The sequence below is a fragment of the Homo sapiens genome, chromosome 1 (assembly GCF_000001405.40).
Source record: "Homo sapiens chromosome 1, GRCh38.p14 Primary Assembly".
NCBI lineage: Eukaryota > Metazoa > Chordata > Mammalia > Primates > Hominidae > Homo > Homo sapiens.
Genome location: NC_000001.11, coordinates 244,608,584 through 244,621,438, shown reverse-complemented (window position 1 = coordinate 244,621,438; position 12,855 = coordinate 244,608,584). Strand labels below are relative to the sequence as shown.

Below are 12,855 nucleotides of genomic sequence, written 5' to 3'. Positions count from 1 at the left end.
TGGCTAGATTATTATTCTTTTTGGACAGTCAGCTAATATGAAATCCAGGCTTAAATCTATTGAGTGTAGATTTACAGTTAAAACTCTTAGGGAATATATATATATATATATATATATATATATTTTATATATTTATATATTTATATAGATATATCTATATAGATATATCTATATAAATATATCTATATAAATATATCTATATAAATATATTTATATAAATATATATATAAATATATCTATATAAATATATCTATATAAATATATCTATATATAATATATATATTTTATAATATATATATTTTATATATATTTATATATATATTATATATATATTTATATATATTTTATATATATTTATATATATATTTTATATATATTTATATATATTTATATATATATTTTATATATATTTATATATATTTTATATATATATATTTTAATCTGGAGCCAAGATTGATTCAGGCATGTATCCTTGCCATCTTCCCTAAGGATTTTGCCCTTCAAAGCCTTAGGTTCTCTGATCTAATCTCTGTCTCTGCTAGGGCCTTACACTTGTCCTCCTTTGTCCTACATGTTGCCTTGTGATCCAGGTCACCAGGGATATGCAGATAACCCTAGGGGGGATAGAGTGTCTTTAGAGAACTCCAATAGGATCTAATGAATCTGTACTTTTTCGGAATTCCTGGCCTATAAATAATCCCCTCAGTTTCCTATCAATGTGGCCACGCATTTAAAAGGTGTATGTGTGTTAAACGTACTGTACAGGAAAGGTTTCCCCTGAACACTAAATCTGTCATATTGTAAGAAATAGAATGCTATTTATATTTTTTAGTTTCTAGCCTGAATTGTAGCCTATAAAATGATGTTCTTTCACTTGTTAAAATTTTATTTTTGGTTCACCATGAGATTATTGTAACTTACAGTGTTTCCCTAGGCACTGGAAGAGAATATGTGTGCTCTGTAGGTATTGTAAGATACAGCAGATTCTCCCCACGACCCACTCAATGTGCTTCTATTCTGAAGTGAATGAGAGATGGGAAACTGGAATCTTCCCTTTTCATAGCTGGTCTTAGTTCTGCTCAGCCTTTCACATGTGAACATCTTACACAACAAATATGATTGCAGTGTTAAAAGAGAAACAGCACCCATTTTTTCTACCACATGGCTTAAAATGTGGATCAAGTATTTGAACTGGGACAAAATGAAAGAAACAGCGATCTGTTGAAATGTTGGTGGAACTACTGGCTCTACTGGACTCACTGAGAGATGCTATTTCAGTTTCTAGCATGACACCTTTTACGAGAAATCAAAAGGAATTTCGGCCACATACAATAATATCCTTTTACAAACTGACTTTAGGTCCTAATTCCTGGATAAGCCAAGACTCCACTTTACTTATCTCTTGACTTAGGTTAATGAATAATTTTATTCACATTCTCCACTTGCTTATCTGTTTTATGACTACTTGATCTATCAGATTCTGAGAAAGATATATTAAAGTCTCCTAATAAAATTGTGGTTTTGTCATATGCTTACCCTGTTTCTAATAGTTTTAGTCTCATGTATTGTCTGGCTTTTTGTTGGGTGCATAAAATTCATGAATATTTTATCTTCCTTATGGATTATACCTCATATCACTATAAAATGTCATTTTTTAAATCCCATTTAATGTGTCCTATTGTCAGTGCACCTGTAGGCATCCTCTTACCTTCAAACTTTCCAGATGAGAATTAGGCATAATACGTGTTCTCCCATCCCCAAACCAGGAGGCCCCTGTTAGTTTCCCTGAGTGGTTTTCCGAAGCCCCCTCTTACTTGTGGGGAAGTATTCTTGTCCCCATGGCATTCGGAAAAGTCTCTTGGAAGAAATACTCTCCATTAGCCTTTCTTATGAACTCCCAGCCTTCTTTCAAAGCTGCCTTTGAATAGCTTAGGGGCTAATAGTGGAAATAACCAGTTTTGAGACACCCTCTTTTCAAATCCTGCATTGATTATCATGATTTTAGAACATGTTTAGGACCTCTCTGTTAGTGACAGTCACCTTTAAATATCCTGTTTTACTGCATTTTTAAAAATTAACTTTCTGTTTTTGTCTTCATTTTTCTTTTATTTGAAGAACTCAGTGGTCTGGCCCTTCCTCATCACCCCAAATTCCTTAACAGTGGGTGTCCCCCAAAGCCCTTCCATTCTCTATTTATAATCAGTCAGCTAACTTATGTATGCTCCTGGAATCCCCATAGAAGGTACCCACATCCGTATTGTTAACTTTTTATCATCAGCTCTTCCTTTCCACTCCAGGCCCAGATTAGAATTCTTAACTGTTTATAGGACATCTTTGCTTAGATGTCTCATTGTCCCCTCAAATTCAAAGTCAGAACTCTTATCTCAATACCTCACCCACAGAAAAACCACCCCATTACCTATTGTGGTCAAAGGAAATGCCACTATTTTAATCACCTGGCCTAGAAAACATGAAACTATATCGTTTCCTTCTTTACTTGCCACGTTAGATCAATAGAATCTCTCATCATTAGACTCTTTTTTCCCTTCTTTCCATTCTTACTGCCACTAGGCCTTCCTTTGACCTCTTTCCTTGTTAACGTCACTCTTCTCCATTATCCATGTAGAGCTTATTTTTACTTTTATTTTTATTTTTTTGAGATGGAGTTTCCCTCTTGTTGCCCAGCCTGGAGTGCAATGAATGGCGCAATCTCAGCTCACCGCAACCTCTGGCTCCCAGGCTCAAGCGATTCTCCTGCCTCAGCCTTCTGAGTAGCTGGGATTACAGGCATGCACCACCACACCCAGCTAATTTTGTATTTTAGTAGAGACAGTTTCTCCATATTGGTCAAGCTGGTCTTGAACTCCCAACCTCAGGTGATCCTCCCGCCTTGACCTCTCAAAGTGCTGGGATTACAGACGTGAGCCACCGTGCCTGGTCTATTTTTCTTCTGCACCATTCTTTCTGCTATTCTCAGGCTAATTTCCCTAGAACTATGCTTTCATCACACCGTTTTCCTAGTGAAGACACTAATGAAGGTCTCTAGGACATGGGCTGAAATTTACTTAAACATTATGAATTGCTGTAAGTTTGTCTCCTTCCTTTGTTTTCTACCTTCCCCATTCAGAGCACTTTCTGCCTTCCTTTGCGACTCCACAAGCCATAGACAATATGCTAACCTTTTGCTAACGTTTAGCTCCATTCCGTTATTAGTGTGATTTCTTTCACTGGAAGCGTCTGTCTCTGTCTTCTGGCAATGTAAATTCTACTGATGTTCTGTGTTCTCCAGAAAGTTTTCTTTTACTGCTCAAAATAGCATTAATCTTTCCCATCTCTGAATTACTATTGTGCCTGTCAATAATGCAAATAATTATATTTGAAAAATACCTCCTGTATTTTGCTCTGATTTAACTTTTCTTGGCTTTTATGTGCATCCCTCCCCCAACTCCTCCTTCTCCAGGCAGCTTAATTGTAAATACCTTGAAGGATGAGACTGTGCCTATATTTGGATCTTTCATGGCAACTGAACCCAGGAAAGTCCTCAGAATGTAATTGTAAATTGATTAATTTAATTAACACAACATAAAATCTTCTACCCACATAGAATGTTTCATGTGATTGCTACAAAATGAAAAAGCAAATATGTAAATAACAAGAATAACAATGATTGAATGTATAGGATGCATCAAATTAAAAAAATAAAGATTTTGAAGAACTAATGCTAACACTATTACAGTAACACATATATTCACCTATAGTTTGGATCCAGGATCTTCACACGAAATACATACATTCCAGAATGGCCCATGGGCCAAAATATATGGTTACCATTAGAACTGTTGATAATCTCGTATGGTTGATTTAAGTCTCCTGGTTTTCCAATAGCATAAGAAAAACAGTGTTTATAGTTCTGAACAAGAAACAAAGACAAAAATTTTAAGGTCATTTTATGACTTTGATACGCAAAATTATAGTCTCATTTATCTTGGAAAATTATTTAGAGATGTAATGGCTATTCCCTTCTATTTTACCCCTGCAGTGCTCTTTATAGCACTTTAAGAGCGATACTGGGTTAAACTTTGATAAAAAGTGAAGCTTAGTGAAAGCAAATGTTGTATTTACAAACAATTACATTAGAGTGTTGAGAATATGTAAGCATATTATTTTCCTAAATCAACAAAATACAAAATGTTCCAAAGATGCTTAATTGGGGACAGAAACAGTTTTGATCATAAGGTACAGACACAACAGTCAAGATGGTACATCCTTGGGTTTTTATCTTGCCCTAGGATCTTCATTTAGCCCCATTACCATTACCATGTCTTTCTGTGGGTCTCAAGATACAAACTATCTCCTGCCTGCCTTTTTAAAAACACAGATGAAACAAGCCTGTATTTTTAAAAGTTACTCTGTTAAAACAAATACAATGAAAGAAAATGATTATTAAAACTGGCAGATACCTGATCCTACTATTACATGGCACTGGTTCTGGGTCCTCTTAGATCCTGTATGTTTTCACACCCTACTTAAAGGACTCTTCTTCTACCATTCTTGCTCTCTGAAAGCTTCTCATTTGAAGGAAACAGGAAGCCTTGTAAGGCAATTACTTTGGATGTGTCTGAGCTTTTGTCTATCAACATCCTTCAAGGTTACTATGGTTTGAATGCATCCCTCAAAGTTCATGTGTTGGAAACTTGATCCCAAAAGTTGAGATGGAAAGTGAGGTCTAATTGGTCCCACCAGGAGTTTGGATCACAGGGGCACTACCTTCATCAATGAGATAATGCCGTTGTCACGGAGTGGGTTCCTTATAAAAGGATGAGTTCAGCCTCCCTCGCCTGCCCTCTCACTCGCCCTCACCCTCTCTCTCCTTTTGCCTTCTGCCATCTGATGATGCAGCAGGAAGGCCCTTGCCAGATGCCAGCTCCTTGATCTTGGACTTCCCACCCTCCAGAATCATGAACCAATAAATTTCTGTTTATTATAGATTACCCAGCCTCTGGCATTCTGTTATAGCAGCACAAAATGTACTCAGAAAATGGTATTTTCTTTTTTCTACGTATTTTGAAATATTCCTCCTTCATGAACATCTTCCCAGTCAATAGAGCTTTGCAATCAATCAGCTCTTGCACAGTCTCAAAGAGACTTCCTCATGGCAACTCTATGGACAAAAATGTTATCATGATTAGATGGCAATAACGATAAGCTCTAGAGGGAAGCTTATTGCTTACTGCTGTATCCTCAGTCTGGCACACAGTAGTCAAGATACATTTGTTGAATTAATCTGTGTTTTGTTTTGTTTTGTTTTTAGGGATGGAGTCTCGCTCTGACACCCCGGCTGGAGTTCAGTGGCATGATCACAGCTCACTGAAGCTTCGATCGCCCAGGCTGAAGCAATCTTCCTGCCTCAGCCTCCCTAGAAGTTGGGACTACAGGCATGTGCCACCATGCCTGGCTAATTTTTTACTTTTTTTTTTTTTTTTTTTTTAGGAGATGGGGGTCTCACTATATCGCCCAGATTTCTGTCGAACTTCTGGACTTAAGCAATCCTCCCTCCTCAGCCTCCCAAAGTGCTGGGATTACAGGTATGAGCCACAACATTTGGCCTGAAATTTTTGAAAATTGTTTTATTCAGATGCGAGGTACAGTTCTGATTATGCCTGCCGTTACTTACCTGGATATCATGAAATGTGAGGATACAGACATATCCTACATACTATTACTTCCATTCCAATAATCAATTACAGTCATGTACTGCATAGCAATGTTTTGGTCACTGACAGAACACATATACAATAGTGGTCCCGTAAGATTACAGTGGAGCTGAAAAATTCCTATTGCACAAATACTTACCATTTCCTTACGTTATTCACTATAGTAACATGCTGTGCGTGTTTGTGGCCTGGGAGCAATAGGCTCTATCATATCGCCTAGTTATCTAGTAGGCTACACCGCCTACGTTTGTGTAAGTGCTCTCTGTGATGTTTGCATAATGACAAAATTGCCTAACAAAGCATTTCTCAGAACATATTCCCATTGTTAAGTGATGTATGACTGTATTCTTCATTTATTCTAGGAGATGAAATAGTCATCAAGGTCTGCAGCTAATTTAACAGTATAACTTTAATTAAAGAATTCCAGTAGCACCTGTTCCTGAGAGCAATGTTTGTGGATATTTGTCTTTTTTTTTTTTTTTTTTGGTCTGCCCAAAGTCCATTGTCATTTTTAATAGAATGCTGATTCCTTTTGGATATCATCAGAGTGAGGGTAATTCCAAGTCCCCACCTTTCATTCCAGAAGCTGACAGGCACAGATTCTTTTGTTCCCAACCCCAGGACATAGCTGGGGTGGTGGCGGGGCAGCTCTACCAATCTCCCAGGAATATGAATTAACAATGAGGGCTGCAACAATGAGAGGAATGTTTAGAGGTCGTTCATCAGAGTGCCAGTGCCCCAGCCAGGTTGAAGGACAATTGTTTGGAGTAATAAAATTTTAGGTTAAAATGCATTCCAGATAAAAATGTAACATGTTACGTAACTGAATTCAGAGTAATATGTGTAGGCCATCAAGATGAGGAGGAGTTTTACATGCATATATTACATGGTAAAAATGAAAATAAAAAAATTAATTTTAAAAATAAGAAAAAAGATGAGGAGGAGAAGGTTGCTTACCCTTTATATTCTGGTAACCACAAGTGTGATTGGAGCCAAAAACCCAGTCTGACTAAATGGAGCAGAAGGCCCACTTGATACTGAGCTGTGTGTACACCCCTGGCTGGTTGCCTTGGCTGTGGGTTCCCTCCTCGTGTTAATGATACTGTGATATGAAACAGCAGAGGAAGTAAACAGTAACCAGGGACAGAGAACACATGTGTTCCCGCTCGACTCGGACAGACCTCTGGGAAAAGTTTGGAAGATGTTTGTATAAAAAGCAAAGGAGGAGATCACAAGGTGGACAGAGTTTTGTTGTGCGTAGAGTTGTATGGACCTGTACTGTCAAGGAACTTTCAGAGAAAACAGGCTTGTCATAGATTCTTTGGCTTCAGTTAGAGTCACTGTAAAGAATCTAAGTGTGTTGTGTGCTCATGTTGCTATACCTGCCCTGTCTGTGGCAGTCTTTCCGGAAAGGAAACTCCAAGGAAGGAGGGGAGAGACTCAACAGCTTGACTCACGTGCAGGGTGGTGCCAGCTGCAGAAGCTCTAGGAACACAGCTTGAGCGACCTGTGCTGAGTTGCGGAGGCTTTCACTGTGTGTTAGTTTGTTTTCTGTTGCTTTTAACAGAACACCTGAAATGGAGTAATTTATAAGGAAAAGGAATTCATTCCTTTCCAAGGAGGCTGAGAAGTCCAAGGTCGAAGGGTTGCATCTGGTGAGGGCCATCTTCCTGGTGGGGACTCTGCAGGGTCCCAAAGTGTCACAGGACATCACATGGCAAGGGGGCAGAGCACGATAGCTCAGGTCTCTCTTCCTATTGTGATAAAACTGCCGGTCCCACTCCCATGAAACCCACAAATCCATTATCCCATTAATCCACTAATCTATGAATGGATTAATCCATGTATGGGGGCTCTGCCTTCATGATCCAATCACCTCTTAAATGCTCCCCCTCTCAATGCTGCTGTACTGGAGATGGAATTTTAACATGAGTTTTGGAAGGGACAAAAATTCAAAACATACTACCAGAACTGACTAATCATCCAGGGAAGGATTTTTGAAGGATTCTTGTATACAGGCCACTGCATCCTTAGTTTGATAAAAGGCCAGGTTCAGGAGTAGGAACTGAGGAACAGAAGCCTCAATGGACACAGATCAGGACTAGTTATTGTAAGGGGAGGGATAAAGGTTGAATATTGCCTTCTCACTGAAAATTCCTCTATTTCCCTTCTTAGCAGGTCATTTTATTTTATGTAGGTGAATTATCCTATAATTACATTTTAATCATAAGTGGCATCCCTAAAACTCTTGATTATATTTAATTTAAAAATATTACTATATGTCTCGATAAACTCTGACGTTGTTTTTCAAAAAATCTGTTTCTTCTAGCATTTCTTGCCGTTGTCTACCTTTTTGCCATTGTGGTCTGTAGCACTTTTATAAAACAATATGTTGGGTTAATGAAAAATAAGTAAAAGACTTGTTTTTTTGATGTATCCCCACTTGAAAATACAAAATATATTTTTTGGTGAAGGGTTCTTCCAGGTCAAAAATAAACTGTGAAACTTGTCCTACCAAGTTACTTAATACATGGGTCCATGAACTTAATTGGAAAAGTATGTGGTATATTCTAAGTATGTTTGGAAGCTGTGCATATATCATACAACAAAGCATTGCTAGTAAAGACCTAATAGCCTTGTATCATTATGTATTTTTGTATATAGACATGCAGGAATATTTATATTGTTTCCTATTTCCTTATTTCCTAATGTGAATGATGATACCTGCTGACTCTTGCTCCTTTTTCTGTGTCACTGCCAGAAAGATATCACTGCCTGATATTCCCTGTTATATTATTAAAACTTCCCCCTCTCCCGCCATTATTGTTTCTTCTCCCATCTTTTTTCATGCGAAAGCCCACTTGATCAAATCACCCAGTCACTTAGAAAACAAATCTCCTGGCCGGGCGTGGTGCCGCGCCTGTAATCCCAGCTACTTGGGAGGCTGAGGCAGAAGAATTGCTTGAACTCGGGAGGCAGAGGTTGCAGTGAGCTGAGATTGCACCACTGCACTCCAGCCTGGGCAACAAGGGGAAACTTCATCTCAAAATCAATCAATCAATCAATCTCCCCTAGCCTCATGCATTATACTCAATTTTTAGCCCAGGACTTCCCAGTCTAGTATTTTCAGCCACATCGAGAAACTCAAATCGGATTCTGTATCGTGTGGATGTAGACAAGCACTCAGCACCCATATTCTCCCTTTCCTTCTCAACCTCCAACCTTACCAGGAGAACCTGTGAAAATGCCACGCTTGCTTATGAGTCCTTCAGTGTTTTCCCTAAGAATTTACAGTCCCAGAGCTTCTTCCCTGATTTTTTTAAAATGTAGGTGTCGTTCATCCTTCTAGAATCAGAAGGACTATGTAGCAATTAGTGTAGCTCCAAGAACTGGAAGGCTTTCTATTTCATTTCAGGTATACGTTTCAGGAAGAAAGCAGCCCTGATTGCCCTGTTGAGTTAAGATACAACGTAATAATGACACCCTTCAGTAAGAGTAGACTTACTCACGAGGACATAACTAGTCTTTGCAGGTACCTGCTTTCTATTATATTCAGACTTCAGACTGAATTCACCCTTTCAGTGGTAAGCTTTAAGCTTCTCATGTAGTAGAATGGAACACGCAGGGCCTGGCGTGGGCACTCCAGAGTCTTTCTAGACTGTACGCTACTATTTCAATTGCTCTGAAACGCAGTCCCCAGATCAGCATATCAGTATCATTGAGGTGCAAATTTTTGGGCCCCAACCAAGACCTGCTGAATTAGAAACTCTGGGAGTGGGACCCAGCCATCTATTTCAACAAGGTCTTTTGGAGATTCTGATGTATGCTAAAGTTTGAGAACCATTGTACCATATCATACCAATTGAGGCAAGCTTCATGATTGTTAATTACCCAGTGAGCTCACTGCTTCTTTGGAGTATGTTATTTCGGCAGAATCTTAGAATATTTAGGTGCCTTTTGTAAGATTTGGGGATATCATCCTCACCTATCATTTATCCCTGTCCCTAACTCCAGACCCTTGGATGTCCTTCAATGAAAAATCAGGAGGGTAAGTTTCGTTTTAACTGATTTAATTACCAGTTTAATTCCTTATGATTTTTATTTTTTAATTTGATTTTTTTTTCTTTTTTGAGACAAGGTCTCACTGTGTCACCCTGGCTGGAATGCAGAGGCATGATCATGGCTCACTGCAACCTCAGCTGTCGGGGCTCAAGTGATCCTCCCACCTCAGCTTCCTGAGTAGCTGGGACTACAGGCATGCACCACCAGGCCCAGCTCATTTTTTTTTTTTAATTTTTGTAAAGATGGGGTCTTACCATGTTGCCCAGGCTGGTCTTGAACTCCTGGGCTCAAGTGATCCACACGCCTCGGCCTCAGAAAGTGTTAGGATTACAGGTGTGAGCCACCATGCCTGGCCCCCTTATGATTTTTAAACAGTAGAAAAGTACTCTTTATAATAGGTATATGATCTATAATTAATTAATTTGGTCCACAAATATTTAATGAGCACCTATAATGCATTAGATGCAGTGAACAAAACAAAATTTCCCTCATGGAGCTTACATTCTAGTAAGGGAGCTAGAAAATAAATAAGATTTTGAAAGTAGGCTATGTAATGTGTCATAGTTATAAACGCTAATGATATTAAATAAAATAGGGGAGGGAGGCTGGGTGCGGTGGCTCACGCCTGTAATCCCAGCACTTTGGGAGGCTGAGGCAGGTGGATCACTTGAGGTCAGGAGTCAAAACCAGCCTGGCCAACATGGTGAAATGCCGTCTCTACTAAAAACACAAAAATTAGCCAGGCGTGGTGGCACATGCCTGTAGTCCCAGCTACTCAGGAGGCTGAGGCAGGAGAATCACTTGAACCTGGGAGGTGGAAGTTGCAGTGAGCAGAGATTGTGCCACTGCCCTCCAGCTTAGCAGCCTAGGCAACAGAGAGAGACTCTGTCTCAAAAAAAAAAAAAAAAGGAAAGAAAATAGGGAGAAATATGCGCTTTCATGAAAGTGATGGTTAAGTTTTTCCATATGGTGGCCAGGGAAGTCCTCATTGACAACTTGATTTTTCAGTAAAGACCTGAGGTTAATGTAAGGGAGCTAGGTCGTCTTTACAAAGACTCACTCTTGATGCTTTCACATGTTTAACACATATTTAATAATCTGCAAACACATATTTACAGCAGTGAAAATTAAAATAGTAACACAGAACCAACAAAAGATCACACAGAAATTAAGATGAAGCATTTTAAAAATACCATGATACAATTTAATATAAAAATAGGATTTGATTTACCAAAGCAAATTTAAATCCAAAATGTTTCCATCAAGTTTTTGTTAATAGCAAAATGCCAGATTAGTTATTCCAAATAAACAATCTGGAAGGTAATGTTTCTCTTACCTCAGGTCCCCAGACTTCTTCTAGTGGGAGGTGCTTGTTAAGTTCAATCATTGACTTCCATGTCTGTGCTTCATGTAAACAACCACTCTGTCAAAAGATGGCACATGTATGTGGGTAGGTAGAAGTTTTCATATCAACTTATTCCTAAGTATTTAATGTTTTGTTGCTATTGAAAATTTTGTATTTTTAAAACTTACATTATTTAAATGTTGGCTGGTATACAGAGGAATAATTGACAATTGATTTTTGTATATTGATCTTGTGTTGAGAGAATTTTTTTTTGAGACAGAGTCTCACTCTGTTGCCCAGGCTGCAGTGCAGGGAAGATCATAGCTCACTGCAGCCTCGAGCTCCTGGGCTCAAGTGATCCTCCTGCCTCAGCCTCTCAAGTACCTAGGACTACAGGTGTGTGCCAGCATGCCTGGCTAACTTTTAGTTTTTTAATTTTTGTAGAGATGGAGCCTCGCTATGTTGCCAAGGCTGGCCTCGAACTCTTGGCCTCAAGCCATCTTCCTGCCTCAGCCTCCCAAAGTGTTGGGATTACAGGCATGTGCTTGGCCGAGAGAATTTCTAAACTCACTTATTAATTCTAATTGTTTCACATGAACAGTTGTGTCATCTGCGAATATGACAGTTTTATGTTTTTCTTTCCCATCCTTATACCTTTTATTTGTTTTTATTATTTTTTTCTTATTACAAAGATCTTCAGGAATAGTGTTGCCTAGAAGTGGTGATAACACCAGAGGTCAGGAGTTCGAGACCAGCCTGGCCAACACAGTGAAACCCTGTCTCTGCTAAAAATATAAAAATTAGCTGGGTGTGGTGGCGTGCACCTGTAACCCCGGCTACTCGGGAGGCTGAGGCAGCAGAATTGCTTGAACCTGGGAGGCAGAGGTTGCAGTGCGCCAAGATCACGCCACTGCACTCCAGACCGGGCGACAGAGTGAGACTCTCTAAAAAAAAAAAAAGGAAGTGATAAGGGCCATCCTTGTTTTCTTCCTGATTTCAAAGTGAAAGTTTTCAAATTTTTACCATTAAATATAATGTTTGCCATAATGTTTTGTATCTACATTTCATTAGGTGAAGGATGTTTCTATCTATTCATAATTTTCTAAGATTTATTTATTTATTTGTTTGTTTAGAGACGGAATCTTGCTCTGTTGCCCAGGCTGGAGTGCAGTGGTACAATCTCGGCTCACTGCACCCTCCACTTCTTGGGTTCAAGCGATTCTCCTGCCTCAGCCTCCCGAGTAGCTAGGACTACAGGTGTGTGCTACCACACCCAACTAATTTTTGTATTTTTAGTAGAGACAGGGTTTCACCATGTTGGCCAGGCTGGTCTTGGAGTTGACCTCAAGTGATCACCTGCCTCAGCCTCCCAAAGTGCTGTAATTTTTTTCTGAAAGTGATCAGCTCCAAGATAGGAATTGAGCAACTCAGACACAGGCATGGATAAAGCAGAAAGATGAGTGTTTAAAGTTGCCCTAACAGCAAGCAGAAATAATACTGGGAAAAATGAGATACAGATAGAGATACAGAGAAATCGATATTGGCAAGATGGTGCTAGAGAATTGAACTATGGAGCTCACGCTGCATAGGAAGGGAAGGGAGGAAACGTGAGAGAGAGGGAGAAGGAGAAAGCAGAGGGTTCAGTACAGCAGATGGCCAGGTTGTGTGAGACAAAGTAGGAGACTGGAGTAGTGTGAATAACAATGAGATAGCTAAAGGATTGGGGGTTGAGGT

General features: G+C 39.2%; 1 protein-coding gene across 18 annotated transcripts in view; it reads right to left on the bottom strand.

Moving 5' to 3' along the window:
• The window catches only part of CATSPERE (catsper channel auxiliary subunit epsilon), a 189,263-nt gene that overhangs the window by 19,066 nt on the left and 157,342 nt on the right, over positions 1–12,855 (bottom strand). For 11 of the 18 annotated variants that reach the window (XM_011544138.3, XM_047417109.1, XM_011544142.4 and 8 more), the window contains 2 exons: positions 11,113–11,199; positions 3,753–3,910 (listed from right to left, as the gene is read on the bottom strand). In XM_011544138.3, coding sequence (XP_011542440.1) covers positions 3,753–3,910; positions 11,113–11,199 — 245 coding nt within the window. Of the gene's footprint in view, positions 1–3,179; positions 3,352–3,380; positions 3,622–3,752; positions 3,911–11,112; positions 11,200–12,855 lie in introns of those variants that run through there. The other 7 variants (XM_017000947.2, XM_017000951.2, NM_173807.5 and 4 more) reach the window with 5 other exon arrangements.